This window comes from Homo sapiens, chromosome 2, assembly GCF_000001405.40.
Source record: "Homo sapiens chromosome 2, GRCh38.p14 Primary Assembly".
In the NCBI taxonomy this organism is placed as follows: Eukaryota; Metazoa; Chordata; class Mammalia; order Primates; family Hominidae; genus Homo; species Homo sapiens.
The window spans coordinates 85,390,138-85,417,311 of record NC_000002.12 but is presented as its reverse complement, the minus strand read 5'-3'; the positions used below and the strand labels follow the sequence as shown (position 1 = coordinate 85,417,311).

The 27,174-nt window shown below is 51.5% G+C and overlaps 2 protein-coding genes and 1 long non-coding RNA gene across 43 annotated transcripts in view, besides 7 other annotated features; 1 reads left to right on the top strand and 2 right to left on the bottom strand.

The window, feature by feature from the left end:
• CAPG (capping actin protein, gelsolin like) overlaps positions 1-25,710 on the top strand; it is a 27,939-nt gene extending 2,229 nt beyond the window's left edge. For 2 of the 16 annotated variants that reach the window (XM_047445951.1, XM_047445948.1), the window contains exons 2-10: positions 15,154-15,189; positions 15,355-15,527; positions 15,629-15,783; positions 15,983-16,147; positions 18,027-18,176; positions 18,530-18,622; positions 19,160-19,292; positions 21,686-21,774; positions 25,623-25,710. In XM_047445951.1, the coding sequence (XP_047301907.1) occupies positions 15,167-15,189; positions 15,355-15,527; positions 15,629-15,783; positions 15,983-16,147; positions 18,027-18,176; positions 18,530-18,622; positions 19,160-19,292; positions 21,686-21,774; positions 25,623-25,703 (1,062 nt within the window). In that variant the 5' untranslated portion in view covers positions 15,154-15,166 and the 3' untranslated portion in view covers positions 25,704-25,710. The other 14 variants (XM_047445953.1, XM_011533122.2, NM_001256139.2 and 11 more) reach the window with 13 other exon arrangements.
• Positions 351-3,601, bottom strand: LOC105374841 (uncharacterized). The gene is made up of 3 exons (XR_940316.3): positions 3,245-3,601; positions 2,342-2,513; positions 351-1,218 (listed from the first exon to the last, which is right to left on the bottom strand). It is a non-coding gene; the product is annotated as an uncharacterized LOC105374841 (long non-coding RNA).
• Positions 3,186-3,265: a silencer, noted in NCBI's record as "silent region_11698". NCBI's record gives its function as "represses an Ori minimal core promoter by ATAC-STARR-seq in GM12878 lymphoblastoid cells {active_cell/tissue: GM12878}" and the evidence as "EXISTENCE:reporter gene assay evidence [ECO:0000049][PMID:35858748]".
• Positions 3,341-3,842: an enhancer, noted in NCBI's record as "H3K27ac hESC enhancer chr2:85640593-85641094 (GRCh37/hg19 assembly coordinates)". NCBI's record gives its function as "activates a minimal SCP1, AML or CMV promoter by ChIP-STARR-seq in naive H9 embryonic stem cells {active_cell/tissue: H9 hESC(naive)}" and the evidence as "EXISTENCE:reporter gene assay evidence [ECO:0000049][PMID:30033119]".
• Positions 3,396-3,445: an enhancer, noted in NCBI's record as "active region_16123". NCBI's record gives its function as "activates an Ori minimal core promoter by ATAC-STARR-seq in GM12878 lymphoblastoid cells {active_cell/tissue: GM12878}" and the evidence as "EXISTENCE:reporter gene assay evidence [ECO:0000049][PMID:35858748]".
• Positions 6,719-6,768: a silencer, noted in NCBI's record as "silent region_11697". NCBI's record gives its function as "represses an Ori minimal core promoter by ATAC-STARR-seq in GM12878 lymphoblastoid cells {active_cell/tissue: GM12878}" and the evidence as "EXISTENCE:reporter gene assay evidence [ECO:0000049][PMID:35858748]".
• Positions 6,879-6,928: a silencer, noted in NCBI's record as "silent region_11696". NCBI's record gives its function as "represses an Ori minimal core promoter by ATAC-STARR-seq in GM12878 lymphoblastoid cells {active_cell/tissue: GM12878}" and the evidence as "EXISTENCE:reporter gene assay evidence [ECO:0000049][PMID:35858748]".
• Positions 11,451-11,500: an enhancer, noted in NCBI's record as "active region_16122". NCBI's record gives its function as "activates an Ori minimal core promoter by ATAC-STARR-seq in GM12878 lymphoblastoid cells {active_cell/tissue: GM12878}" and the evidence as "EXISTENCE:reporter gene assay evidence [ECO:0000049][PMID:35858748]".
• Positions 14,983-15,482: an enhancer, noted in NCBI's record as "H3K4me1 hESC enhancer chr2:85628953-85629452 (GRCh37/hg19 assembly coordinates)". NCBI's record gives its function as "activates a minimal SCP1, AML or CMV promoter by ChIP-STARR-seq in naive H9 embryonic stem cells {active_cell/tissue: H9 hESC(naive)}" and the evidence as "EXISTENCE:reporter gene assay evidence [ECO:0000049][PMID:30033119]".
• The window catches only part of ELMOD3 (ELMO domain containing 3), a 36,980-nt gene continuing 35,369 nt past the window's right edge, over positions 25,564-27,174 (bottom strand). For 15 of the 26 annotated variants that reach the window (NR_138132.2, NR_138131.2, NR_138133.2 and 12 more), the window contains 2 exons: positions 27,047-27,174; positions 25,564-26,552 (listed from right to left, as the gene is read on the bottom strand). Coding sequence is in view for 23 of the 26 variants with exons in the window: in XM_047445971.1 (XP_047301927.1) it covers positions 26,350-26,552; positions 27,047-27,174 (331 nt within the window). In the remaining 3 variants the exon portion in view is untranslated. The other 11 variants (XM_047445966.1, XM_047445967.1, XM_047445965.1 and 8 more) reach the window with 2 other exon arrangements.

Here is a 27,174-nt window from a genome sequence, read left to right as displayed (position 1 = left end):
CTGTTTCCTCATCTGTCAAAGGAGGATAATAAGAGGATCCATGTTAGAGAGTAAATGCAAGGATTAAATGAGAAAATCATATCAAGGATAGCACCTGGCATATAGTGGCAGCACACAATAGTGTTAGCTGTTATGGTGTTGAGTACCCAGTGTGACGCTGGCTGTACAGGGGTAAACTTGTCTTCTGGGGGACTAGTCCCCCCATCCCAGGCACCTGGTGCCCTCCCCAGGCCACTCATGCTGTACTGGACAGTCCCACTTTCCCAAGAAGTCACAAGGAATTCCAGCATGTCACTGTTCTGGTTGCCCCTGAGCACCTAGCAGTGATTTAAGAAAAGGCAAAACCAAAGTTTTGGTTTTGAGCTTTATTCGGAAAATATGGCCACCCAGACCCCTGGCCATTCCCCAGGGCCTGTGAGGTGATCCAGAAAAATTCATTTGCAAATCAAATTTAATGGCTAGAAGCATCCTGAATCAATGTCTTCAAATAAATATTTGGGGCCGGTGAGGTGGCTCACACCTGTAATCCCAACACTTTGGGAGGCCGAGGCAGGCAGATCACCTGAGGTCAGGAGTTCGAGACTAGCCTGGCCGAAATGATGAAACCCTGTCTCTACTAAAAATACAAAAAAATTAGCTGGCATAGTGGCGTGCGCCTGTAGTCCCAGATATTCGGGAGGCTGAGGCAGGAGAATCACTTGAACCGGCGGGGGGGAAGGTTGCAGTGAGCTGAGATTGTGCCATTGCACTCCAGCTTGGGCGACAAGAGTGAGACTCTGTCTCGAAAAAAGAAAAAAAAAGGAATATTTGGGGGAATTTTGATGTTAGAATTGAGCATTGCAAAAGATCCCTGTCAGTCCCCCGTGATGAGGAAATGCAACTGCTCAGCCTGAGCTGTGCCTCTCGGTTGGAGTTAGAGGAGCCAGAAGGGACCCTTCGAGTCTAGTGCTTTCATTCACAGATGGGAAACTGAGGCCCAGAGAGGGCCACATGGCAGGGTAGTTAGAAGACAGGTCGAGAACTTGCTAGGAAGAATCTTTTGCAATTTCAGAACTTCTCAGCACTGGAAATGAGTCCATACCCCGAGTTTATGGGCACAGAAGCAGAAAGCTGATTGTCCTGGACATCCCCAGACCTTGGCCAGAGTCCAAGCAGCTAAGCCCAGAAGCCAGTGTCCAGTGCTTCTCTCTCCTGGGTTTCTTCAGCCAGGTGTTCATCCTAGAAGTAGGAGTTTATTAATAATGGTGATGGTATCTTGCATTGTCCAGGCCTTCATTCTTTTTGCGGATCCTCCCGGCTGGGCACAGTGGCTCACTCCTGTAATCCCAGCACTTTGGGAGGCCGAGGAAGGAGGATCACTTGAGCTCAGGAGTTCAAGGCTGCAGGGAGCTATGATCATGCCACTGCACTCCAGAGCCTAGGTGACAGAGTGAGACCCTGTCTCTTAAAAAAAAAGAAAAAAGAAAAAAAGCAGCCTTTCATTGAATCCTCACAACCTTCCAAGGTAGGAGGACTGGGGCTTCTGTTCTCGTTTCACAGATGAGGAATCTGTGGCTAGGAAGTCTTAAGGGATTATCCCGAGGCAACAGAATCTGGGCAGTATTAGAATGTGGGGGTTTTGCTGTCTAATCTGTTAATGCATTCAGTAAAAATTTTTTTGAGTGCCTATTACCTGCTGGGCGCTATGCAGGGTGCTGGGATTGCAAGGATGACTTGACACGGTCCCTGGCTAGAGGTGCTAACATTATGGTGGAGGAAGCACATGGTGGGGAGGGAACTTTCTGGTGTGATAGAAGTGTTTTATATCTTGGTAGGGATGTGGGTTACATGGGTGTTGCATCTGTCAAAACTGATTTAAATGTACACATGATTTGTGCATTTCACTATAAATTTGACCTAAGCAAAACAAAACAAAAACTGAATGCTCTGGAAGGACTATGCCTGGGCACAACCTTGGAGAGGCCTAGTTGTCTGGAAGCAGGCCAGGTTGCCCATGGATCCAAATCCACTTTTGCTATCGGGTGTGCCTGAGAAGTGTTCCCATGGGCGTGTAGATGCAGGTGGCCCAGTGGCTTGATGTCCAGAATACCTGGGGAGCACTGCAGAGGGAGTTTCAGAGGAGGGATATTTAAGCTGAGTCTGCAGAGTGAGCAGAGTTGGTCAAAGGAAGGCAGATAGTAGGCAGCGGGAGGTGGTTTCCGAGGACTCCTTGCTGGAGTGTGCTTGTCTGAGGTCACCCAGATAGAAAGATTGTTTCCTTACCCCAGGCCCCACCCATGGACTTCAGAGAAACTCATTCTGGTTGGGATTTTCGAAGCTGCCTCCCACAAAAGGATCTTACCACTGTGTCACAAGGCCATGGCCTGATCCTCATGCTCTTTGTCAACTGACATCTCTCATGGGTTGGCTATGCCACATTCAGGAGCCAAGGCGGAAGTGTGGACCCATCGCTGTCCAACACATTTCCAGAAGGCCTGGCCTCCTGGTGCAGATGCTTGCTGGCCTGTTTTCCTCTGAATAAAGAAGAGAAGGGTCAGGTGTTGCAGGTCAGATCAGCCTGGGTTAGAATCCTGGTTCAGCAGTTGGGTGCGGTGGCTCATGCCTATAATGCCAGCACTTTGGGAGGCCAAAGCAGGAGGATCACTTGAGCCCAGGAGTTTGAGACCAACCTGGGCAATAGAGTGAGACACAGTCTCTCCAAAAAAAAAAAAAAGTTTAGCTGGGCGTGGTGGCATATGCCTGCAGTCCCAGCTACTCAGGAGGCTGAGGCTGGAGGATTGCTTGAGCCTGGGAGGTTGAGGCTGTAGTGAGCTGTGATCACAGCACCGCACTCCAGGTGCCGCGACAGAGTGAGACCCTGTCTCAAAAAAAAAAAAAAAAATCTTAGTTCTGCTACTGAACTAGCAATGTGACACTCTGGACAAGTTAGTTACCCTCTCTGAGCCTCCCAAAGACTTCATGTTTCCAGCAGGAATAATGATAGTAGATGTGAGGACGCACCAAGCACATAGTAGGCTCTCACAGAACAGTAGCTGTTCACAGGGTGATTGAGGCCGGGGGCCTAACGATTGAATGGAAGTGAACACTGCAATTCTCTCGCAAAGTTTACAGCACAGTAAGCTTGTCCTTAGCTTCCCCTATACCCTCCTTCCCACGCCCAATTCTAGGACCCTTTCGGGCGCCCCAGCCTCCCATAGGGGCTCCCCGCCAGCTCAGACCGGCCGGGCCCCTCCCTCTGACTCACCGGGGGCGGCTCCTGGCCGCGCACCTCCAGGGGGCGGGGGGCGGCTGAGACAGCGCCCAGGGCCTCGGAGCAAGGCGTTGGCAGGCAAGTAGTGCGCTTCGGGGTCCGGTCGCCGGGGACCTGGGCTCCCCATGTAGGGGTCGAACGGGCTTAGCCGGTTCGGGGGCGCCCCGCTCCCTCCTCTTCTCCCACAGCCGGGGTCCTCTCTTAGGGGCGCGCCGTCTCCTGGCTTCCTGTAAGAAAAGGCGGGAGAGGGTGGGTCCGTGCTAAAGAAATACTTTATTTTACTTCATTTGGGACAAACTAAGCAGTAGTGCTCAGGGGAGACCACAAGGGTAGGAACACTGTGCGTCTGGTAAAAAAACTAGTTCTAGAGCGTCGTTACCAGATAACTCATTAGCATGTGCATTGAGTTCCTAGCCGCTCCCGAGAGTCCTAGGCTGAGCGACCGGCCCTTTTGTTTCGCTGTTGTTGTTGTTTGTTTTTTGAGACGGAGTTTTGTTTTTATTGCCCAGGCTGGAGTGCAGTGGCGAGATCTCGGCTCACCGCAACCTCCGCCTCCCGGGTTCAAGCGATTCTCCTGCCTTAGCCTCCCGAGTAGCTGAGATTATAGGCGCCCGCCACCACGCCCAGCTAATTTTTGTATTATTAGTAGAGATGGGGTTTCGCCACGTTGGTCAGGCTGGTCTCGAACTTCTGACCTCAGGTGATCCGCCCGCCACGGCCTCCCAGAGTGTTGGGATTACAGGCGTGAGCCACTGCGCCCAGCCAGTTGTTTCGCTGTTAATGTGTAAACCTCTCCCCTTTTTTCCTGTGGTGATAGGAGAGGCTTTAGCCTAGACAGCTGAGTGTGAGGAACAGTGATTCCCATTGATCCTTGTTCCCTCCGTGGGTCACAGAGTCCAGAACTTAAGAGCCACCCAAGGTATGCGCTGTTGTGACCAAAATCTATGAAGCTTTCCAGCGCTGGGGCTGGGGATGGAAATAGGAGAGTGCTCTGTGGTTTAACTTTCTTTCCTCCTGTGGAGAAACCGGGAGCTAGGGGAGTGGCCAGGCACATTTCTACCTCAGGTGCTGATGGCACATTGCAAACTAAAGGGAAGAGAAAGAAGTCTGGGTTTATCGAGCATGTATTATTTGCTCATTAATCATAGGATCTCATTTCATCTTCACATTTAACTGTATGCACGTGTTACAGATTGGGGCACAGGGAGGCTCCAGGAGGTTAAGTCACTTGCACAGCTAGTAAGGAGCCAAATTGTCTAGCTCTTATCACTCTACCAGGTTAACCGCCCAGCCTGTGGTTTTGTGGGGACTAGGCCCTACTGGGATTCTCACCCAGACTATCCTTTTTTTTCTTTTTTAAACTTTTAAGTTCAGGGGTACATGTGCATGTTTGTTATATAGGTAAACTCGTGTCATGGGGCTTTGTTGTACAGATTATTTTGTCTCCCCGGTATTAAGCCTAGTACCCATTAGTTATTTTCCTGAATCTCTCCCTCCTCCCACCCTCCACCAAACTACCCTATTATTATTGTTATTATTATTATTTTTTGAGACTGAGTCTTGCCCAGTCACCCAGGCTGGAGTGCAATGGCGCAATCTCGGCTCACTGCAACCTCTGCCTCCCGGGTTCAAGCGATTCTCCTGCCTCAGCCTCCTGAATAGCTGAGATTACAGGCATGCGCCACCACCCCCGGCTAATTTTTTGTGTCTTTAGTAGAGATGGCGGTTTAACCATGCTGGCCAGGCTGGTCTCGAACTCCTGACCTCATGATCCACCCGCCTTGGCCTCCCAAAGTGCTGGGATTACAGGCGTGAGCCACCGCGCCCGGCCCATATTACCCTATTTTTAAGCCTGGCAGTTTGGCCATGGAGACACTTGGATGCTAGCTACAGGCCATGTTCTTTGGGGAGAAGATTTAACTTCCCGTCTTGCTCTAGTGAAATTTTATCAATTTCGTTTCAATGAGAAACATTCATCCAGTATTGCTTTTTTTTTTTTTGAGATGGAGTCTTGCTTTGTCTCCCAGGCTGGAGTGCAGTGGCGCCATCTCGGCTCTCTGCAGCCTCCGCCTCCTGGGTTCAAGTGATTCTTCTGCCTCAGTCGCTCCAGTAGCTAGGATTACAGGCACCCATGACCATGCCCGGCTAATTTTTGTATTTTTAGTAGAGACAGGGTTTCACCATGTTGGCCAGGCTGGTCTTGAACTCCTGACCTCAGGTAATCTGCCTGCCTCAGTCTCCCAAAGTGCTGGGATTACCGGAGACAGCCACCATGCCCAGCCTATCCAGTACTGTATTTTCTCCAGACTTTTCCCACGCAGTCAAATAATGAGGTTTTGTTTGAAGGTCTGCTAATTAGGAAGATTTGTTCCAGATTTTGCTCCAGGGTCCCCAGGCCTTGACCCTGAACCTGGAGCCTTGTCTCAAGCCAGCCTGCTGACCAATACCTTTCCAGGACAGGCCGGCTAGGTTCTGGGCAGAGGAACTACGCTTGTGTGGCTGCATAACTGGGTGCTCACTTTCTCCTGGAGCCTCATACTGAGTCCGCTCATCCTTCCCCCAGGGATTCAGAAGGGAATGGGAGCCTCCCTTGCAGGGGCTTCCACTCCCTGTGTGTTTGTGGGCAGTCTCTTGTGCTCTCAGGACCTCGGTGTCCTCCAGAAAGCCAGCGAGTTGGAGGAGACAAGCTCTAGGGTCTAGTGACTGTGATGTAGGCAGGATAGTTGCCCTGGGTCAACCCAGGATGGGCTGTCTCTCAGAGGGCCCAGGGCCCAGAAGTCATGATGATAAACATCTGGTGAATGAGAAGCAGACCAAAGGGTAGAGACCTGAGAGGCATCAGCATGGCATGCGGAAGATGGTGAAGAATGTTTTATGGCCTCAGCCATTCCCTGAGAACTGAGCTTAGCCAGGTGCAGTAGCCCACGCCTGTAATCCCAGCACTTTGGGAGGCCAAAGTGGGAGGATTGCTTCAGTTCAGGAGTTCTAGACCAGCCTGAGTAGCAAGACTCTGTCTCCAGAAAAAATAAAAAAATTAGTCGGGCATGTTGGTGCAGGCCTGTGGTGTCAGCTGCTCAGGAGGCTGAGGCAGGAGGATCGCTTGAGCCCAGGAGTTCAAGGCTGCGGTTAGCGGTGATAATGCCACGGCACTCCAGCTTGCGTGACAGTGAACCCTGTCTCAGGAAAAAAAAAAAAACAAAAAAAACCAAAAAACTGATCTTAAAAAAAATCAAATACTTGCATTCAGGGCAAGGAGAAAGACAAACTGAGGGAGGAGGAAAAAGTAATGTGAAGCCAGTGACCCTGCCCAGAAAATGTGACTAACCCAGCAGCGGTGGGGGCTGTGCCGCGCCTGCCCCAGGCCCTGAATGGAGAACATGGCTTTCCTTGCTGGTCTCAGACTCAGAGATGCCCTCCCTGATTTGCCTTGGCTGTGACCTGCAGCGGGCTGAGGCCACTGTGGTGGGGCTGTGTGGACCTCCAGCCTCCCTGTGTGCCCCTCTGAGGAGACGGCCTGGCATACCCACTGCCCACCCCAGTGACTGCTCTTCTGCTTCAGGCCTGCTGGCCTCCCAGCACTGCCTGCCCCTCCCTGTCGGGGGACATCGCCTCCACACCGGCTGGGGAAGGAGCCCAGGGGTGGGGCTGGTGGGTGGGGCTGGTGGTTGGGGCAGCCAGAGAAGTAAGAGGGAAGTGAGAAGCCGGGTGGGGCAGGCTGGAAGGAAGACGAACCTACGAAGCAGAGGTAGGAGGAAGAAAGGAAAGTAGGAGTGTTGAAAGGTGAAGGTGGCAGGGTGGCTGCCAGCGCGGCTGGCTGGTACCCTCCTGGGTGGGCAGGCGAGGGCTGGCTGTGGTGGCCTGGGAACAGAGACCCACATTTCTGGATACCACATTGTGCCAGGGTGGAGTTCCCCCAGCCTGCTGTCCTGCCAGCCTTATGCCAGGCTCCAGGCACCTGATCTGATGGCAGCTGTGAAGCTGCCCGGGAGGATGGGTGGGCTGTGCCCATGCTGCACATGGAGGAACTCTTGGGTCAGGGCTTGTCCCAGCTGTGCCAGACCTCCTGACGGAGGCCACCACACTGCTCCTGAAGGCCCTCAGCCAGACTGGAGGTGAAATCAGATTAGAAGCTGCCTGTCCCCAAGACAGGACTGTGGTGTGATGCTATTTGGGTGGGAGTGGCTTGGGGAGGGGGCAGGGCAGTCCTAGCCATTTGAATTCAAATGCAAGTGGCACATTTGATTATTTTGCAAACTCTGGAAGACCTTGGCTGAGGGTCTAGGTGGACTGTCTGAGGTAGGAGGTGGGGAGGGAGGAAGTGGTTGACCCTGGGGAAGGGTAGGAGACCTATTTGGTATCAGGGGAAAAACCATTTGGAATCCCCAAATGAGGCCTCTGGACCTAGATTCTGAGAATGCCATGTCCCAGGCTGGGAGATTCAGTTTGGTTTCGAGGGTGGGCACCTACCTCCACCAGGAGAAGTGGAGGTGCTGTTTCATTTCACACCTAGGGGCAAGCAGGGACTGTGAAGGGAAGAGACCTATTGGGGGTCAGTGGAATCAGGGTCTGAGGAAGGCAAAGGTACCACTGGACCCCGGCAGGATTTTTGTCCCTCTGATGGCTGTCAAGTCTTTCCTTAAAGGTGTGTGTAACGGTGACCTCCTCTCCGAGGTCCCCCAGTGTGTCCTCAAAGACAGCCTAAGTCAGGACCATGGGACAGCCAGCAGGACTTGCGTCCTCCCCTCCCCCAGCCCCATGGCAGTCTGGGACCCCTAGCCCCTGCTCTCTGCCTCCTGGGGCTGCTCCAGCCTGTCCCAGCCTTTTGAAATCCTGGGCTATCCCTTAGGTGCCACCCCAGTCTAATAATCAGAGCCCAGCAGGTCCAGTTAATCAAATGCATTCTTTGAGCACCTGCATGAGGTTCCAGCTAGATCCAGAGGCAAAATACACTTCCTGCCCTAAAGGACCCTACAGTGTAGTAGTGGAGGTAGGCGGGTCCATAACTCACCACACTATGGCAGAGTGGGGAAAAGTAAAGGCTTTAAGAGGTGTAGAAGAGGCTGTTTGGTAAGGTGGTGAGTTTCCCATCACTGGAAGCCTTCAAGAAGAGGATGGTAAGGGATGCTATAGAAGAGATTTCTGCACTATGCGTGTATGGGTATGTGTAGGGCGGTGCAGGCAGAGCAGGACTAGATAAGAACTTTAGCGCTTTCTTTTTTTTGTTTTATTCCTCCCCCCCGGCCCCAGCTCCCCTCTTCAACTTTAGCACTTTCTAATGCTGACATCTGTGATTCTGTGACATTCCCCACTTAGAGGAAGTTCGTCTGCGGTTTCACTGGGTATGGTGGCTCCCTTGTTCACTGCACCCTGCAGCTAAACCATAAAACATGGGCTATTCTTTGTCTCTGTGCATGTCACCCCCAGTGCCAAGCCCCCAGCACAGACGTTGAGTGGAATGGAATAGACTCTTTGCTGGGCTGCTTGAGGAACAGAGGCATCAGGTGTGTCCTTGCTCCAGTTGAGATGTGAAGCAGCCAGTTTATGCTATAAAACAGGCTAAAGTATGTGCTCCCAGGGGAGAGGGCTGGGAGAACTCCCAGAGAAGGCGGAGGCCACTTAATGTCCTGGAAGTTTCCTTGGACAGCTGGGGCTTGATACGGGCCTGGAAGGATAAGGGGGCTTGTGTGTGTGTGTGTGTGTGTGTGTGTGTGTGTGTGTGTGTGACAGATTCTTCCTCTGTTGCCCAGGCTAGAGTGCAGTAGTGCCATCTCGGCTCACTGCAACCTCTGCCTCCCGGGTTCCAGCAATTCTCCTGCCTCAGCCTCCTAAGTAGCTGGGACTACAGGCACGCACCACCATGCCTGGCTAATTTTGTATTTTTAGCAGAGATGGAGTTTCACCATGTTGGCCAGGCTGGTCTTGAACTCCTAATCTCAAGTGATCCACCCGCCTCAGCCTTCCAAAGTTCTGGGATTACAGGCATGAGCCACTGTGCCCAGCCTAGGATGAGGGGGCTTTAATGGATGTAAGGGTGAACATGGACACTGAGGAAGCTCAAGGAGCTGTGGGCTTGGACAGAGGGCTGGGATAGGGGAAAGAATGAAAGGCCAGAGGTCAGGGTGGACCCTTCCCCAGGAGAGACTGGAACAAAAGGTCTCGGGACAGAGATCTAATGAGGCAGCAGGAGTTTCAACCCTGACCAAGCATTAGAGTCATCTGGAGCTTCTCAAACACTGACATCCAGGCTCCACCTAGAGAGTCTGGTTTTAATGAGTCCAATATGGAAGCTAGTCACTGGGGTTTTTCTTTCTTATTTTTCTGTAAATTACTTTTTTTTTTTTTTTTTTTTGAGACAGAGTCTCACTCTGTCACCCAGGCTGGAGTGCAGTGGTGTGATCTCGGCTTACTGCAACCTCCACCTCCCAGGTTCAAGCAATTCTTGTGCTGCAGCCTCCCAAGTAGCTAGGATGACAGGTGTGCGCCACCACGCCCAGCTAATTTTTGTATATTTTGTAGAGACAGGATTTCACCATGTTGCCCAGGCTGGTCTTGAACTCCTAAGCTCAAGCATTCCACCTACCTCAGTCTCCCAGTGTGCTGGGATTACAGGCATGAGCCACCATGCCTGGCTGGCACTGGGGTTTTTCAAAAGCCCCCAAATGATTCTAATGTGCAGGTGAGCATTTGACACTGTTCTGGACAGAATTCACTGGCACTACTACCATCACTTTGAACATATGTTCAAAATATGGGTGATCAAGCCCCATTCCAGACCTGTGGAATCAGAATCCCCAGACCAGGGGCTTGGGCACTGTTAAAGAAAAAAAATATGGCCCAGGCGCAGTGCCTCACGCCTGTAATCCTAGCACTTTGGGAAGCCAAGGTGGGCAATCACTGGAGGTCAGGAGTTCAAGACCAGCCTGACTGACATGGTGAAACCTCACCTCTACTAAAAGTACAAAAAATTAGCCAGATGTGGTGGTGCACGCCTCTAATCCCACTACACAGGAGGCTGAGGCAGGAGAATTGCTTCAACTCAGGAGGCAGAGGTTGCAATGAGCTGAGACTGTGCCACTGCGCTCCAGCCTGGGCAGCAGAGTGAAACTCTGTCTCAAAAAAAAAAAAAAGAAAATTACTAAGAGGAAACATCAAGGGTAAAGAGATTCTGGCTAGACTGAGCTAACAGGATTCCTTTTTTTTTTTGAGACGGAGTTTCGCTCTTGTTGCCCAGGTTGGAGTGCAATGGCATGATCTCAGCTCACTGCAACCTCTGCCTTCCGGGTTCAAGTGATTCTCCTGCCTCAGCCTCCCGAATAGCTGGGATTACAGGCATGAGCCACGAAGCCCAGCTAATTTTGTATTTTTAGTAGAGATGGGGTTTCTCCATGTTGGTCAGGCTGGTCTCGAACTCCCGACCTCAGGTGATCTGCCCGCCTTGGCCTCCCAAAGTGCTGGGATTACAGGCATGAGCCACTGTGCCCGGCCCCTAACAGGATTCTTGCTGAATACAGGCCAGAGTGATCAGACATCACTGGGGCGGCGGGGGCAGGGTGTTGAGGAACCCAATCAGATATCCACGATTATCAGATCGACCAGATATCAAGGGTAGGGGGTTCTAGGTAAATGGCCTTAGCAGGGTTCTTTTGCTAAAACCGGATTTTACAAGCACACAGATGGGCCTACGGGGTGGTTCAGAAGCCTAGTTAAAGTTTGGCCAAGCAAAGAATCTTTGTCAGTACCGACATTTTAATAAGGTCCCAAGGTCATTCTAATGAGCAGCCAAACTCCTTTCTTTTCTTTTTTTTTTTTTGAAACCGAGTCTCACTCCATTGCCCAGGCTGGAGTGCAGTGGCATGGATCTTGGCTCACTGCAACCTCCGCCTCCCAGGTTCAAGTGATTTCCGGATAATTTTTGTGCTTTTAGTAGAGACGGGGTTTCACCATGTTGGCCAGGCTGGTTTCGAACTCCTGACCTCAAGTGAACTGCTCACCACGGCCTCCCAAAGTGCTAGGATTACAGGCGTGAGCCACCGCACCCGGCCTGCCAAACCCCTTTCATCCAAACCCTGATGTGGCTCTCTGGCATGTAGGCTGCCTGATTTTGAGTTAAACACAGAATGAAAAATAGTAAAGGTGACAATTGGCGCACTCCGTGTCTCATTCTTGAGCGCTCCCTGATGGCTTGAGCTTGGGGCAGCCACTTCACCAGCTCAGGCCTGAGTCACAGGCTGGGCTGCCTGTTGCAGGGGATGTGGGCACAGCATGTGATCCTCTGTGGGATGGAGAAACGTTAAAGTTTCCCTCCGCAAACCTCTGCTCTCTGCATGTCCTCTTCCGGAATCGTGGTGCCAAAATATGCCTTCCACTATTTTGTAGGTTGGGAAAGGAAAAGGAAAGTCATAATTCACACAGCATTTCACATCCATTATCACTGCCCTTGACCTGTCCCTCTTTGTTTCCTACTCAGACTTAATACCTTCTGCTCTGTCATCTGCCTTCCCCCTACCCCTGACTTCCCTGGCCCCTGCGAAATATTGCACTTCCTGATCCTGCTGCCCCAGCCCCCAAGAATCTCCTAATGGTGCCAGCTTGCATTTTTACCCTCCAATTCCCCAAGCCCTTACCCTGTGCCACTGGGGCTCATCTTACACAAACTCTGTCCAAATGGATGCACAGCATGAATTGTATTATGTACGAAGTGCATGCTGGCTCTGTGATCTCTGCATTTTGAGCCAAAAAAAGAAATCCTCTAGTGATGGGAACCTATGAAAGCGACAGTGAGTGGAGCCGTAGCTGTTGCATTTTCTGAATTTTTTAAAAAGATAATATCTTTTTAAAAAATACTTGCGTTTAGCATTTTTTCCCTTGAATGACTTTTGTCCAGAAAAAGTGTTCATCATTCTGGCATTTGAGGGAAGCTGGGCATACAGAATTGATAGCTGATGCCTGGGAGTGGGTGAAATTTCTCAGGGAGGGAGTTTAGAATTAGAGCAGCCATTAAATATAATGTTAGGTGAAGGGTTTTTGTTTGTTTGTTGTATTTTAATAGATGCCTTTTTAACAGGTTAAGGAAATTTCTTTCTATTCCTAGTTTGTGGGTAAAAAAAAAATTTTTTTTTTTTTTTTGAGAGGGGGTTTTACTCTGTCATCCAGGTTGCAGTTCAGTGGCATGATCTTGGCTTACTGCAGCCTCTATCTCCTGGGCTCAAGCGATACTCACTCCTCAGCCTCCTGAGTAGCTGGGATCTGGAATTACAGGCTTGCACTACCACATTTGGCTGATTTTTATTTATTTTATTTTATTTTATTTTTTTGAGACAGAGTCTTGCTCTGTCACCCAGGCTGGAGTGCAGTGGCACAATCTCAGCTCACTGCAACCTCTGCCTCCTGGGTTCAAGCAATTCTCCTGCCTCAGCCTCCCAAGTAGCTGGGATTACAGACGCATGCCACCATGCCCAGCTAATTTTTGTATTTTAGTAGAGACAGGGTTTCACCATGTTGGCCAGGCTGGTCTCGAACTCCTGACCTCGTGATCCACCCACCTCGGCCTCCCAAAGTGCTGGAATTACAGGTGTGAGCCACTGCACCTGGCCTTGGCTGATTTTTAAAATTTTTGTAGGGTTGTGGTCTCCTTATATTGCCCAGGCTTGAAAAAATTTTAAACTAGGAATGAATGTAGAATTTTGCTAAATGCTGTTTCTGCATCTATTGAGGTGATTACACATACATGTTTGTTAATAGGGTGTATAGCATTGATTTTCAAATTTTGGCCTGTTTTTTTTTTTTTTGCGTTGTGAGCGGCTTTATTTATTTATTTTAAATTTATAATTGACAGATAATAATTGCACATACTTAGCAGGAGCAGTGTGATGTTTCATTGTACATATGCAATGTATGTGTATATATTGTATAATGATCAAATCAAGGTAATTAGCATATCCATCACTTTAAACATTTATCATTTCTTTGTGATGATAACATTCAAATCCTCTCTTCTGGCTATCTTGAAATATACACTGCATTATTATTAGCTATCATCACCCTGATTTTCAGATATTAAACCAACCTTGCATTCCTGGGATAAACCTCATTTGGTCATCATGGTTTATTTTTTATATATTATTTGATTTCATTTGCTAAAATTTTGTTAATTTTTTTTTTTTTTTTTTTTTTTTGAGATGGAGTCTCACTCTGTCACCCAGGCTGGAGTACAATGGCATGGGCTTAGCTCACTGCAGCCTCTGCCTCTTGGGTTCAAGCAATTTTCCCGCCTCAGCCTCCTGAGTAGCTGGGACTATAGGCACGTGCCACCACACCCAGCAAATTTTTGTATTTTTAGTAGAGATAGGGTTTCACCATGTTGGCCAGGCTGGTCTCGAACTCCTGACCTCATGATCCACCCACCTTGGCCTCCCAAAGTGCTGGGATTACAGGCGTGAGCCACCGTGTCCAGCCAAATTGTGTTAATTTTTGTATGTGTATGTTCATGAGAGATACTGATCTGTAATTTTCTTTTTGCATAATATATTTATCTGGTTTTGTTATCAGGAGAATGTTGGCAGCATAGGATGAATTGAGAAGTGTTCTGTCATCTCTTTTTTTGAAGATTTTGTGTACAATTGGTATTATGTCCTTTTTAAATTTTTGGTAGAAATTACCAGGGAAGCCATCTGGGCTTGGGTTTTTTGGCGGGGGAACGAGTTTTTTACTACAAATTTATTTTCTTTAATAGATATGGCCACTGTTCAGATAATCTGTGTCTTCTTGAATGAGCTTTCATAATTTGTGTCTTTGAAGGAATTTGCCCATTTTATATAAGTGGTTGAATATATTGGCATAAAGTTTTTATAATATTCCCTTTATCCTTTTAATATCTGTAAAATCTATGGTGATCTCACATCTCTCATTTCTGTATTGATATTTGTGTTTTCTCTTTCTGTTAATCAGTTTGTCTAAAGATTTATCAATTTTATCGGTTTAAAAAAACAACTTGCCAGGCACGGTGGCTCACGCCTGTAATACCAACACTTTGGGAGGCTGAGGCGCGTGAATCACCTGAGGTCAGGAGTTTAAGACCAGCCTGGCCAACATGGTGAAACCCTGTCTCTACTAAAAATACAAAAATTAGCCAGGCGTGGTGGTGTGGGCCTGTAATCCCAGCTACTTGGGAAGCTGAGGCACAAGAATCACTTGAACTCATGAGGCAGAGGTCGCAGTGAGCTGAGATCACGCCACTGCACTCCAGCCTGAGTGACAGAGTGAGACTCTGTCTCCAAAAAAAAAAAAGCCAACTTGAGGCCAGGCATGGTGGCTCATGCCTATACTCTCGGCACTTTGGGAGGCTGAGATGGGCAAATCACTTGAGGTTAGGAGTTCAACACCAGCCTGGGCAACATGGCAAAACCCCATCTCTACTAAAAATACAAAAATTAGCCAGGTGTGATGGTGTTGCCTGTAATCCCAGCTGCTTGGGTGGCTGAGACCGGAGGATTACTTGAACCCGGGAGGCGGAGGTTGCAGTGAGGCGAGATCGCACCACTGCACTCCAGCCTGGGCAACAGAGTGAGACTCAGTCTCAAAAAAAAAATTCATTGCTCTTCTCTCTTGTTTCTGTTTTCTGTTAATTTCTGCTTTTATTTTAATTTCTGTGAGATCTCAGCAGACGGAAGACCCTGGCCCAGGGGTCAGAGACCTTATTTCCATGAACCACTCACTAGCTGTGTGGCCTTGGACTCATTTCTGAGACTCATTTTCTTTGTCTGCATAATGGAACTAGGGCTCCTAGAGGTGGAGTAGTTGATGAATATGAAAGTACTTGGCCACTGGAAAGGGCCTCTCCAGCCCCACGTGAGAGGTCCTTTTTGTGGCATTTGTAATAATAATGGCTTCTTCTTTCTTTCCAGATCTGAAGACAGCATGTACACAGCCATTCCCCAGAGGTAAGCTGCATGCCCCATCTCCTTTCACAACTTCCCCTTCTTTACCTCCAAGGGCTGCCCCTCCCCACTGCTCTCCTCATCCCCAGACTGCAGTCGCCAGGCCTGCCCAGGGCTGTGCTTGGGCAAGTGGGTCCAGGCTGCTGTCAACCCTCTCTCTTCTCGCAGTGGCTCTCCATTCCCAGGCTCAGTGCAGGATCCAGGCCTGCATGTGTGGCGGGTGGAGAAGCTGAAGCCGGTGCCTGTGGCGCAAGAGAACCAGGGCGTCTTCTTCTCGGGGGACTCCTACCTAGTGCTGCACAATGGCCCAGAAGAGGTTTCCCATCTGCACCTGTGGATAGGTAAGGGGATCTGGATGGGGGAAGGTTGGGCCCAGGAAGGGGAGGGAGGGGGCTGGTATGGATCACAAGGGCCTTGCCCTGCCCTCTCCCACTTGTCCCAGGCCAGCAGTCATCCCGGGATGAGCAGGGGGCCTGTGCCGTGCTGGCTGTGCACCTCAACACGCTGCTGGGAGAGCGGCCTGTGCAGCACCGCGAGGTGCAGGGCAATGAGTCTGACCTCTTCATGAGCTACTTCCCACGGGGCCTCAAGTACCAGGTCAGAGCCCACCTCTAGGCACCCCCACCCTGCAGCTTCCCTCAGAGCCAGCCCTGCTTCTGGCTGGTTCTCACCCTGCAGAAGACCCGGGTGCCTTTGGAGCCGGGTCCCCACCTTTCTGCCCGTCTTCCAGTGGGATGGGGTGCAGAGGGCTCTGGGTCTCCTGTCAGTCCACTCAGATGGGCCGTCTGGGCTGCAGGAAGGTGGTGTGGAGTCAGCATTTCACAAGACCTCCACAGGAGCCCCAGCTGCCATCAAGAAACTCTACCAGGTGAAGGGGAAGAAGAACATCCGTGCCACCGAGCGGGCACTGAACTGGGACAGCTTCAACACTGGGGACTGCTTCATCCTGGACCTGGGCCAGGTGGGTAGGCTGGCCAGACTGAGCACTCCGTATTGGCACCATCCTTTATAAGGACGGAGGGGCAGGAGGCCAGGAAAGAGGGAGAGAAGCTGAGAAGCCGTAAACCCATTCCAAGTGAGATCACTCTGACCATTGGAGAATGTCCCTATATTTGTAAGGACTGATGCCAGCCTCCTTCTGCCATCTAGACATTGCCTCTGATGCTCTGGAGCTTTTTCCCTCCTCTTGGAAGCCTCTGAGTTCACTGCCTGCCAGACCATTCATTAATTCAGTCATTTATCTCTTCGTTCAGTGAATCTATGATGCTCTCTCTGAGCCAGCACAGGGACCATAAAAGCTCGCTCTGGGGAGGCAGCCAAGATGGGCCAGTCACTTGCCATAACCTGAGGCAGGATGTGATGAGGGCTTTAAGGGGGACAGCTGCCATGTGCTGGGGGGGTCTTGGGGCAGGGAGGGGCCCTCTAGCCTGAGCCGAAGCCAGTTGTCCCAGGAAGGTGACATTGGACTAGACCTATAGGAGGGGAGATGCCACTCCAGGCAAAGGGAGAAGGTGAGCTGAGCCACCAAGGTGGGGAAGGGTGCAGACATGCACACACCAGGGGTCTAGTGAGACTGGGACCCGGGCTGGGGGACAGGAGCAGGGGGAGGGAAATTCCTAAGCAAGGTGGAAGGTGAGCCCTAGGTCATGAGGAGATTGGCTGGCTGAGGAGTATGGGCTGCGTCTTGTGGCGCTGAAGATTTGGGGCAGGGAGATCAATCCAGGAGCTCTTGGTGAGGACTACACGTGCTGAGACAAGGAAGGGGACAGGTGAACAGACCTCGCCATTACCAGAAAAGGAGAGGTGACAGGGGCTCTGCCTGGCAGGGCGGTGGGTAGAAGTGTGAGATGCTGCGCTCAAGGAGCCATTCAGCCATTCACCCATCCAGTCCTTCACTCAGTCAGTCAATATTTATTTTGCGCCTAAATCCATGCCGGGCTCTGTTTTAGCAGTGGGCCCACAGTGGTGAGCAAAGCCAAACAAAACCTTCATGTCCTAATGAAGCTCACTTTCTAGTAGGTGGAGATAGGTGGTTAAGAGACGTTTAAACATAGGAGATATGTGATGGGAAGAAAAATAAAGAGGTGCTGGGCGTGGCTGCTCACGCCTGTAATCCCAGCACTTTGGGAGGCCGAGGTGGGCAGATCACCTGAGGTCGGGAGTTCGAGACCAGCCTGACCAACATGGAGAAACCCCATCTCTACTAAAAATATAAAATTAGCCGGGCCTGGTGGCACATGCCTGTAATCCCAGCTACTCGGCAGGCTGATGCAGGAGGATCTCTTGAACCCAGGAGGTGGAGGTTGCGGTGAGCTGAGATTGTACCATTGCACTCCAGCCTGGGCAACAAGAGCGAAACTCCATCTCAAAAAAAAAAAAAAAAAAGAAAAAGAAAGAGGCTTGAGCCCAGCGGTTTGTAACCAGCCTGGGCAACATAGTGGGACCCCATTTCTACAAAAAATTAAGAAATTAGCCAGGCATGGTGGCAAGTGCTTATAGTCTCAGCTGCTTAGAAGCTAAGGTGCAACGATTGCTTGAGCCCATGACGTCAAGGCTGCAGTGAGCCATGATCACGTCTTTGCACTCCAGCCTGGATGACAGAGTGAGACCCTGTCTCGAAAAAAAGAAAGGAAGACAGATGGCAGGTGGGCAGAGAAACAGTTGCAGTGGGTGGTCGTGGGCATTTTCAGAGAGCCCTCTGTGCTGTGCTCTGCCTTCCTGGTTGTCCTGCCTCAGGGACAGTTCAGAGAGGAGAGAGGGAGAGCTGTGCGCCCTTCTCTGAGCTGGGGAGCAGGACACAGGCATCTGGCTCTGACCCGGACTTTCCTGCTTCCTTGCAGAACATCTTCGCCTGGTGTGGTGGAAAGTCCAACATCCTGGAACGCAACAAGGCGAGGGACCTGGCCCTGGCCATCCGGGACAGTGAGCGACAGGGCAAGGCCCAGGTGGAGATTGTCACTGATGGGGAGGAGCCTGCTGAGATGATCCAGGTTGGGGGACATTGGAGTGGGTGGCTGGGAGCCTCTGCTTGAAAGTGGCCAAGAGAGGTGGTGATGAGCTGAGGGCTGAGAGTGGCCGGTGGAGGGTGGCAGGGGCCATCTGGTGTACTGCCTAGGGCTGTGGCCAGCTCACAGGGTGCCCCTCTGGGTAGATGCTCGTCCTCGAGGCTGAGCAGCCTGGCTGGTGGGGTGGGCTGGACTCAGCCCTCACTCACCTCACCTCTGCTGGGTGCCCTAGTGCAGGGCGCAGTTTGCCCCACCAGAAGCAGTGGCCCTGGGCATGATGGGCTGGGAAGTTCCAGGGCAGGGGTCCCTATAAACCTGGCCTGCCCTGGCCCCTGCAGGTCCTGGGCCCCAAGCCTGCTCTGAAGGAGGGCAACCCTGAGGAAGACCTCACAGCTGACAAGGCAAATGCCCAGGCCGCAGCTCTGTATAAGGTGGGCCCCCCAAGCCTGCCCTGGGACCCGGCAGCAGGGAGGGTGGGAGCCTGCACAGCACAGCTGCATGCAAGCAGGGTGGAGGGGAGAAGGCAGGGGGAAGGTGGGGCTGGAACCGAGGTGGGAGGTGGGGAGTTATACAGGGCTGGGAGTGAGACAAGGATGGGGAGTGGGCGGAAGGCAGGCCCTCCTGAGGAGATGAGTGCACCTCACTTCCAGCCTATGCTTGGTGAAGGCTTGAAGCCAATGCTGAGCTTTTCTTTCTTGAATTCTGTGCATTTCTTTGTAATTTGGAATCCACCTAATTTCCAAATGGGTTCGGGGCCCCTGTGCTGCAGGGATTGGGGTGATGAGAGGGAGTGGGGCTGCCTGGAATTTGCTTTTCAGGTCTTCACTCTCTTGTCTGCTCCTGGGACCTGGGCAGTGGGCAGCGAGGCACAGTGGGAGGGACCTAGGGAGGACCAGCCTCCCCCTCCTCAGGCTGAGGTGAGGGCTGGTGTGTGGGGGGTGAGATCAGGCACTGTCCCTCCTCCCCAGGTCTCTGATGCCACTGGACAGATGAACCTGACCAAGGTGGCTGACTCCAGCCCATTTGCCCTTGAACTGCTGATATCTGATGACTGCTTTGTGCTGGACAACGGGCTCTGTGGCAAGATCTATATCTGGAAGGGTACGTGGCTCCTCTGTAACAGCCTGAGATGCCTGTAGCTGCTCTGACCCGGGCAGGCTTCCCTTTGCAGGACTCAGCCTGTCTAGCTGCTTGTAAAAGACAGCCTCAGGAAGCCTGCATGCTTCTGGCTGACCATTTTCTCTCTTTAAAAATTTTTTTTAAAAGATAGAGATGGGTTCTTTCTATGTTGCCCAGGATGGTATCAAACTCTCAGCCTCCAGTGATCTTCACCTTGGCCTCCCAAAGTGCTGGGATTACAGGCGTGAGCCATGGCATAGGCCTTGCTATTTTCTTTCTTTCTTTCTTTCTTTCTTTTTGAGAAGGAATCTTGCTCTGTTACCCAGGCTGGAGTGCAGTGGCACGATCTTGGCTCACTGCAACCTCTGCCTCCTGGGTTCAAGCAATTCTCCTGCCTTAGCCTCCCGAGTAGCTGGGAGTACAGGTGCGTGCCACCACACCTGGCTAATTTTTGTATTTTTAGTAGAGATGGGGTTTCACTACCAGGCTGGTCTCGAACTTCTGACCTCAAGTGATGCACCGGCCTCGGCCTCCCAAAGTGCTGGGATTACAGATGTGAGCCACTGCCTCGCCATTTTCTCTTTGCTGTTCCCACCTCCTAAATTCTAGACAATGGCTCTGAAACTACAGCAAGCCTCAGAATCACCCCACGGCCTGTTTAGATGGCTGGGCTCCACCCCCATAGATTCTGATTCACTAGGTCTGGAGTGGGGCAGAACATGCATCTCTAACAAGGTTATGGGTTATGTCTGTGCTGCTGGTTCCAGGGATCACACTTTGAGAACCACTGCCCTAGCCCAGCTCTAGACCTTTGGGGCTTCTGGGACCCCTGATCCTGGGATTCTGTCTCAAGGTTTGACAGAAATGAATTTTAGACAAATTAAACATCATTTTATGCAGTGAGTGGTGAACCTGTAGAACTTGTTTTTCCAAAAGATTCTATCTTCTGGAAATAGAAACACTGTTGGGCAGAGCCTGTTCTGCTTGGTTTGACTGAAAATGAAACAAACTTGTTCTCAGTCTCTGCCTGGGGTCTGAGAATTTTCAGCAATAGCATTTGCTCAACACCCAGTTGTGGGGTCAACCAAGGTGGAGAAAATGCCAGCCCCTAGCCTGGTCAGGAAGGCAGACAAGTAGGTGGGTATCTACAGATAGCTGCTACCAGGCATTTCATAGTATTGCTTCTGAAACTCAGCAGGGATAGAAGTGAAAGGGAGGAGCTGGGAGCAGCAAAAGAGTGGAAAGCGAGAGGCGTGTGCTGCAGGGCTGCCTTTTCTCTCCTGCCAGAGGGCACATATCCCATGGAACCAATGCCAAGCAGAGGGGGGTTCACAGAGGCCCACAGAAGCATGTATAAACCGGAGCAAGGAACCCAACAACTATGGAAAGAGAAATCAGAGGAAAAACAGGAAACTTGGGAGGCCAGGAAGAGAAGGATCTCATGGGTAGGGGGGCAGCTGGTCAGTTGACAGAGGAAGGAATCCAGCATATTAATTTCAGATACATTGTAGTTCATGGCATTTTATAGCCTGCCTAGAGAGCCAACCACATCACGGCATCGTTTCGGTATCATTTCCTTGGAAAAATGTCTGGCAGCCTGGGCAACATGGCGAAATATCACTTCTCTACAAAAAAAAAACCCCCCAAAATTAGCTGAGTGTGGTGGCGTGCACCTGTGGTCCCAGCTACACGAGAGGCTGAGGTGGGCAGATTGCTTGAGCCTGGGAGGTTGAGGCTGTAGTGAGCCGTGTTGGTGCCGCTGCACTCCAGCCCGGGCGACAGAACGAGACTGCGTCTCAGAAAAAATAAAAATAAAAAAGCCTGGAATGAGCAGTTTGAGTTCTCAGGACTGCTAGCAGAAATGACTGGATTACGTGGGGTCTTCATTTTTGTAAGTGCTTAGTTAGCATAACTGTTAGGCCAGTGTAGCCCTGCTGGCATTATGGGAGTAAATCACCTCTATAATAAATTGTACCCTTTGTCTTATTTAGTTTTTCAGAAAAGGCTTGATGAATTCAAGAGGTGAGGGGTCCTAGAGGAAAAGGAGACCTGCGGCCTCACAGTCTGATGCTAGGGTGAACACCTGTTCCCCTCCCTGAAATATTCCAGGGGCCCAGGTCAGAGCAGAGTTTTGCATGATCAGACCCGGGCAGACGAGGGGTTTTCATCTACCTTGGTGCTGCCGGTTTGGGAAAATTCTTAAGGGACTGACTCCACATCTCCAAAGAGCCCCTCGGCATTCTTGGGACCCCTGGTCCATTTATTGTAAAAATTGCTGGCTCTTCTGTGGACTCCCTTAAATTTCCTCAAGAAAAATGGGATGGCAGCTAAAGAGGGTCCCTGCTCTTTTTAAAAATCTCCTTCCTATGATCTAGGGCGAAAAGCGAATGAGAAGGAGCGGCAGGCAGCCCTGCAGGTGGCCGAGGGCTTCATCTCGCGCATGCAGTACGCCCCGAACACTCAGGTGAGGAGATGCGCACAACCACAGCCCTCTTCCTAGGGCTCTTCCTGTGGCCCCTGACCCCTCAAATTGGCCAGGAAGGGCAGGAGAGCCTTGGGCACTGTCAGGAACAACCAGGCCTCCCTCTTAGACCCATCCAGTGGGAAAGCCCATCTCAATCCTTCAAAATGTCAAAATACTTATTATTTTCAAAGAGGATGTTGGGCAGCACTCTCCTGGGTGCCCAGAGAACTGGGTACTCCTCCTCTGGGCCGTTGTCCCTGGCTGGTGCCACCCCTCCTGCCGCAGCACAGTGTCCACAAGTCATCCCGTGGGGAGCTGACAGGGCTCAGCTACCGTTGGTGGCATTTATTAAACTGTGCACCCACGCCCTTGAAGCAGTCTGTTGCCTCTGTCTGTGTCCCTGAAATCTTGGTTCTCATCTCATGGCTCATCCAGGGGAGCTTTCCCAGCCTGGACTGCACATGGATTCAGGCCAGGCGCCCACACCCTCCTCCCTGGCTCTGGCCCCCTCCTGTCCTCCTGGGCAGAGGCAGAGGTGGCAACTTTGTGAACCAGACTTCTCCCCCGCTGTCCCTGCAGGTGGAGATTCTGCCTCAGGGCCATGAGAGTCCCATCTTCAAGCAATTTTTCAAGGACTGGAAATGAGGGTGGGCGTCTTCCTGCCCCATGCTCCCCTGCCCCCCACCACCTGCCTGCTTGCTTCTCTGGCTGCCTGGTCAGTGCAGAGGTGCCCCCTGCAGATGTTCAATAAAGGAGACAAGTGCTTTCCCAGCTCTTTTCCTGCACCACCTGCCCTGGGCTGATTCTCACTGTCACCCACCTATTCACCTGGGTTCATCCCCATGCTGGGGGTGGAGTAGCACACAGATGACAATTGGACAGCCTTGGAGGGGCCAGAGCTGCTTTGCATGACAGAGGAGTCCCAGCCAGGCTTGCAGGGACTGCCATGAACCCAATAGGGAGGTGGCACAGTGCCAGGCCTCAGGATCAGTTGCATCCGGGTGTTCAGTTCAGTCTCACATTCCCAACAGGGAGAAGGTTGTGGCAATGGGCTTGGGATGCAGTTCCATTTAAGGCAGTATTTCTTCGGATGCCCTAATAAAGCACTGCCAGGCAGCTTCAAGTGACATATGCCCACTGAGCAAGAGAGGACAGCCTTTCACAATTGTACCAAGCCTGGCTTATTACTTCGTAGGCACATTGCCCAGCATGTTTGGCTGGTGAGCCCAGGGCCACTGCAGGGCTGTGCGAAAAGCACCAGGCTAGCATGGACAGTCTTCAGTCTGGTTCTTACCCTGCCTCTGTGATCCTAGGCAAGTTACTTTCCTTTGCTAGACCTTAGTTCATTCTCTTGGGTAATGAAGTGGTGGTGGGATGTCAGAGGCTAGAGAGCTAAATAGCAGGGAGAATGCAGTAGCCAAGAAGAGGTCCCATCTGAGAAGGCATGCCCAGGGGCCAAGAGCAGGGTGTGAGTGAGCCTGTGTCAGCTTGGACCAGAGGCCGTGAGGCCTGGCAAGGCTGCAACCACCCTGACTCATCCTCACCCCCAGGTCCTCTGGACTATGTGGCTTCTGAGCTCCAGAAATTGGATTCTTTCATCCCAAAACAAAAATTCTGATCAATTGGCAAGTTGAACTTGCTGATTTGTGCCAAGAACCATACCATAGATACCCCAGCCGGGTGCGGTGGTTCACGCCTATAACCCCAGCACTTTGGGAGGGCAAGACGGGCGGATCATTTGTGATCAGGAGTTTGAGACCAGTCTGGCCAACATGGAAACCCTTTCTCTACTAAAAATACAAAAAATTAGCCGGGCATGGTTGCGCATGCCTGTAATCTCAGCTACTTGGGAGGCTGAGGCAGGAGAATCGCTTAAACCCGGGAGGTAGAGGTTGCAGTGAGCCGAGATTGCACCACTGCACTCCAGCCTGGGTGACAGAGACTCCGACTCAAAAAATAAAAATAAAAAAGAAATGAGCTCCTCTGTGGATCTGCCTCCATGTCTTCTCCATAGACTTCTTAGCCCTACTTGACAGCCTACACAAAGAGCAGGTGCCAGGGATGGTTTTTTAAAGGGGAGAGAATAAAGGTTGCACTACATTAGTGGTTCTGACAACCTTTGTAGAGACGGGGAGTATTTTAAGTCTCCTATGAAAGGCCTAGCCCCTTTCCCTATAAATATACACAGATTAAGATTTTTGTGGCTGGGCACGGTGGCTCATGCCTATAATCCCAGCATTTTGGGAGGCAGAGGCAGGCGGACTCCTTAAGCTCTGGGGTTTGAGACCAGCCTGGGGACCATGGTGAAACCCCATCTCTACCAAAAATACAAAACTTAGCTGGGCATGGTGGCACAAACCTGTAGTCCCAGCTACTCAGGAGGCTGAAGTGGGAGGATGGCTTGAGCCCGGGAGGTGGAGATTGCAGTGAGCCGAGATCGCGCCACTGCACTCCAGCCTGGGTGACAGAGTGAGATCCCATTTCAAAAAAAAAAAAAGATTTTTGCATCTGCTTTCAGAGGGTTCAGGTACCCCTCACAACCAGTTCATTAACAGAACTGTAAATTTAAAATTGCCAGACTACATTATTGCTAATGTTCCAGGGTCTGAAGCTGTGAGTACTCTGTCATCTGGGGGGCACTAAACAGGTGGATGGTGGGCAGAAAGGACCCTGCAGAGGGAAGAATCACCCAACCTGATACTCCAAAGTGGAGGCCGAGCTGCAGCTTTTCTCCCCTGCAATTCAACTCCTGCCATGCCATGCCCAGCAATCTCCCTGCTATCTCTGTTGGTTAGCTGAGGACCAGACTGGAGGAAGTATTGTGAATGAAGGGGTTAGTTCAGGTCAGGCAGACAACACAAGGCAAACTATGGGGTTTGTTACCAGCCCCACCCTTGAGGCATCCTGCTGACAGCAGTCAGGAGTTCCCCTCCACGCCTGGGTGGCCACCTCTCTTCCCTACCTCTGTGATGTTTCCCCCTGCAGTGGGTCAGACTTAAAGAGGCCTGCAGGGCCAGATAGTGGTCTTCCATAGCATTCCACTTGAGGGGGTCCGGAGGACAGAAGGTAGCATAGTGGGGCTCTCACCTGCCCCCCACTCCCCAGCTCAGGTACCCTGGCCTGGAGGCTCTTTTTTTTTTTTTTTTTTGAGACGGAGTCTCGCTCTGCTGCCCAGGCCGGAGTGCAATGGCACAGTCTCGACTCACTGCAAACTCCGCCTCCCGGGTTCACACCATTTTCCTGCCTCAGCCTCTTGAGTAGCTGGGACTACAGGCATCCGCCACCACGCCCGGCTAATTTTTTGCATTTTCAGTAGAGACGGGGTTTCACTGTGTTAGCCAGGATGGTCTCGATCTCCTGACCTCGTGATCCACCCGCCTCGGCCTCCCAAAGTGCTGGGATTACAGGCGTGAGCCACTGCGCCCAGTCTGGAGGCTCTTTTGGGAAGGAACCAACAGTGCTGGCCTTCGCCAGAAGCAAATGCAGGAAAAACGTGGTGTGGATGCCTTATACCAGTCAATCTTAACAAGAGCTGGGCTACCTCGTCCACTGGCTAGAGCTTGCAAGGAGTCTCTGGGCTTGTAAGTATAGCAGAGGATGGACATCCTATGAATTCAGCAAGGTTTGGCTGCAGCACAGGCAACCTTCTGTCTCCTGGAGCCCATGACCAGGCTGGAACCCACCTATGCCTTCACCCTTAGGTGTGCCTGGCTCTAACCAGGTTCCGGAATGACAGGACCACAGGATGGTGCAAGACTTGTCTTGGAAAAAAACACCTGAGACGCTTAATTAGAACAATTCTTTTATTTGAAAACTGCTGGTATGAATTTCCTCCTTCCCTCAATTAGGCCAGAAACTCATCATGGGGCATGCACAGCATCTACAGGAGGAAGCCCCAGCTTGTGGGGGCTAGGATGGAGCAGCCGTGAGAGACACCTAGCCAAATGTCCGTTTTTCCATCATAAACAATGGAGCGGGGGTCAGGGGGAGAAGAGAGTGGGTAAGTGAATGGCCAGAAACTCCAGAGGGGGCCTCACACCCACCTGTGAGGTACCTCCTTGCCCTACCCCCACTGAGGCCTCAGGCCCCTTGCTTGGGTCATGCTGCCCCCTGTCGGCTGCTGCCCCTGCCTCTTCCTCTGAGTTCTAACAACACAGACACTGGTGCCTGAAAGCCCTGCTGCTGCCAGGGAGTCAGAATTCTGGCTGCCTCTACTTGGGAATCTCCTCCCATGTGGGGATCTGCAGAACATCCAGATGGGGCCATCCCACCTCATGATCCATTCACTCCCAGTGGGATACACTGGAATTCAACCCGGAGACTGGAGCCCAACAGATTAAGGCAGAATTCTCCTTGCTCTGGAGGCAGGTCTGCGGGAAGGGGGTGAAGTCTAGCTGCCCCTCATGTCCCATGCCGGTGAGGGTACTTGGCTTCCCACAGCTAAGCCCAGGAGCTTCCTATATCCCATCTGCTGAGACAGCAAGGGGTGCGGCCTGGCCAGGCTCCTGACATGGCTCCACTGACCCCCTGAAAGCCCCTGCAGCTCAGCCTTTAAGCCTCCATTCATCTCGGAGGTCAGATCAGCCATACGCCTTCGGATGAGTGAGACTGCAGGTCACTCTCACCTGTGAAGGTGAGATCCTTGAAGGGAGGGGCTTCTGGCCCATAGCACTTCTGTGCTCCCAACAAGGAGGCCTGTCCCTTTGACACCCTGGCCAAGTACAGCTCCAGGGTCTTGAGCAGCCGCCGTGGGCTCTTCTTGGCCAATACTTCCAACTCTGCAACAGAGAGAATTGGGGAGCAGAAGGCTTGAGGGGGCTCTGGGTGACACAACAGTCAAGGCCTCAAGCCTAGCAGCTCTAGGGAGTACCCCCAACCCCTATCCCATGGAGAGAAAGTGAAGGAGCCTCAGATGGAGAGATCACCAGAGAGGTAGGCTAGGGAGCCAGCTACAGCCACAGGGACCACACACTCTACCTTGTCTGCACAATTGCAACTTTGAATAGTCCAACTATTGGACCCTGGCTCCCAATTTTTGATCAGAATATATGCTTGTCATAAGTATAAGACCAGAAAAGGGCGACAGTCAGGGCAGAGAAAGGAGAACTAGCAGACTCCAGGGGGTGGGTGATGGAGATTTTGGTAAGCTGGAATTTGAGAAAGTGTGGATGGGGAAGAACTGCAGCCAAAACCAGTCTAGCAACCACCTTGGGCTCTCTGGACCTGGGACACTGTGCATTCAGCCTAGGCCTCCCCAGAAGAAAGAGCACACCTTTGAGGACAAAGCCCGAGTCTGAGATGGTCTTCCGCTGTGTCCTCCAGACATGTGCGAGGTGGAGGAATGTGGCGGCATAGAAGCTGTTCACCACGGGGATGACCTTCTGCTGCCGATTACACTCT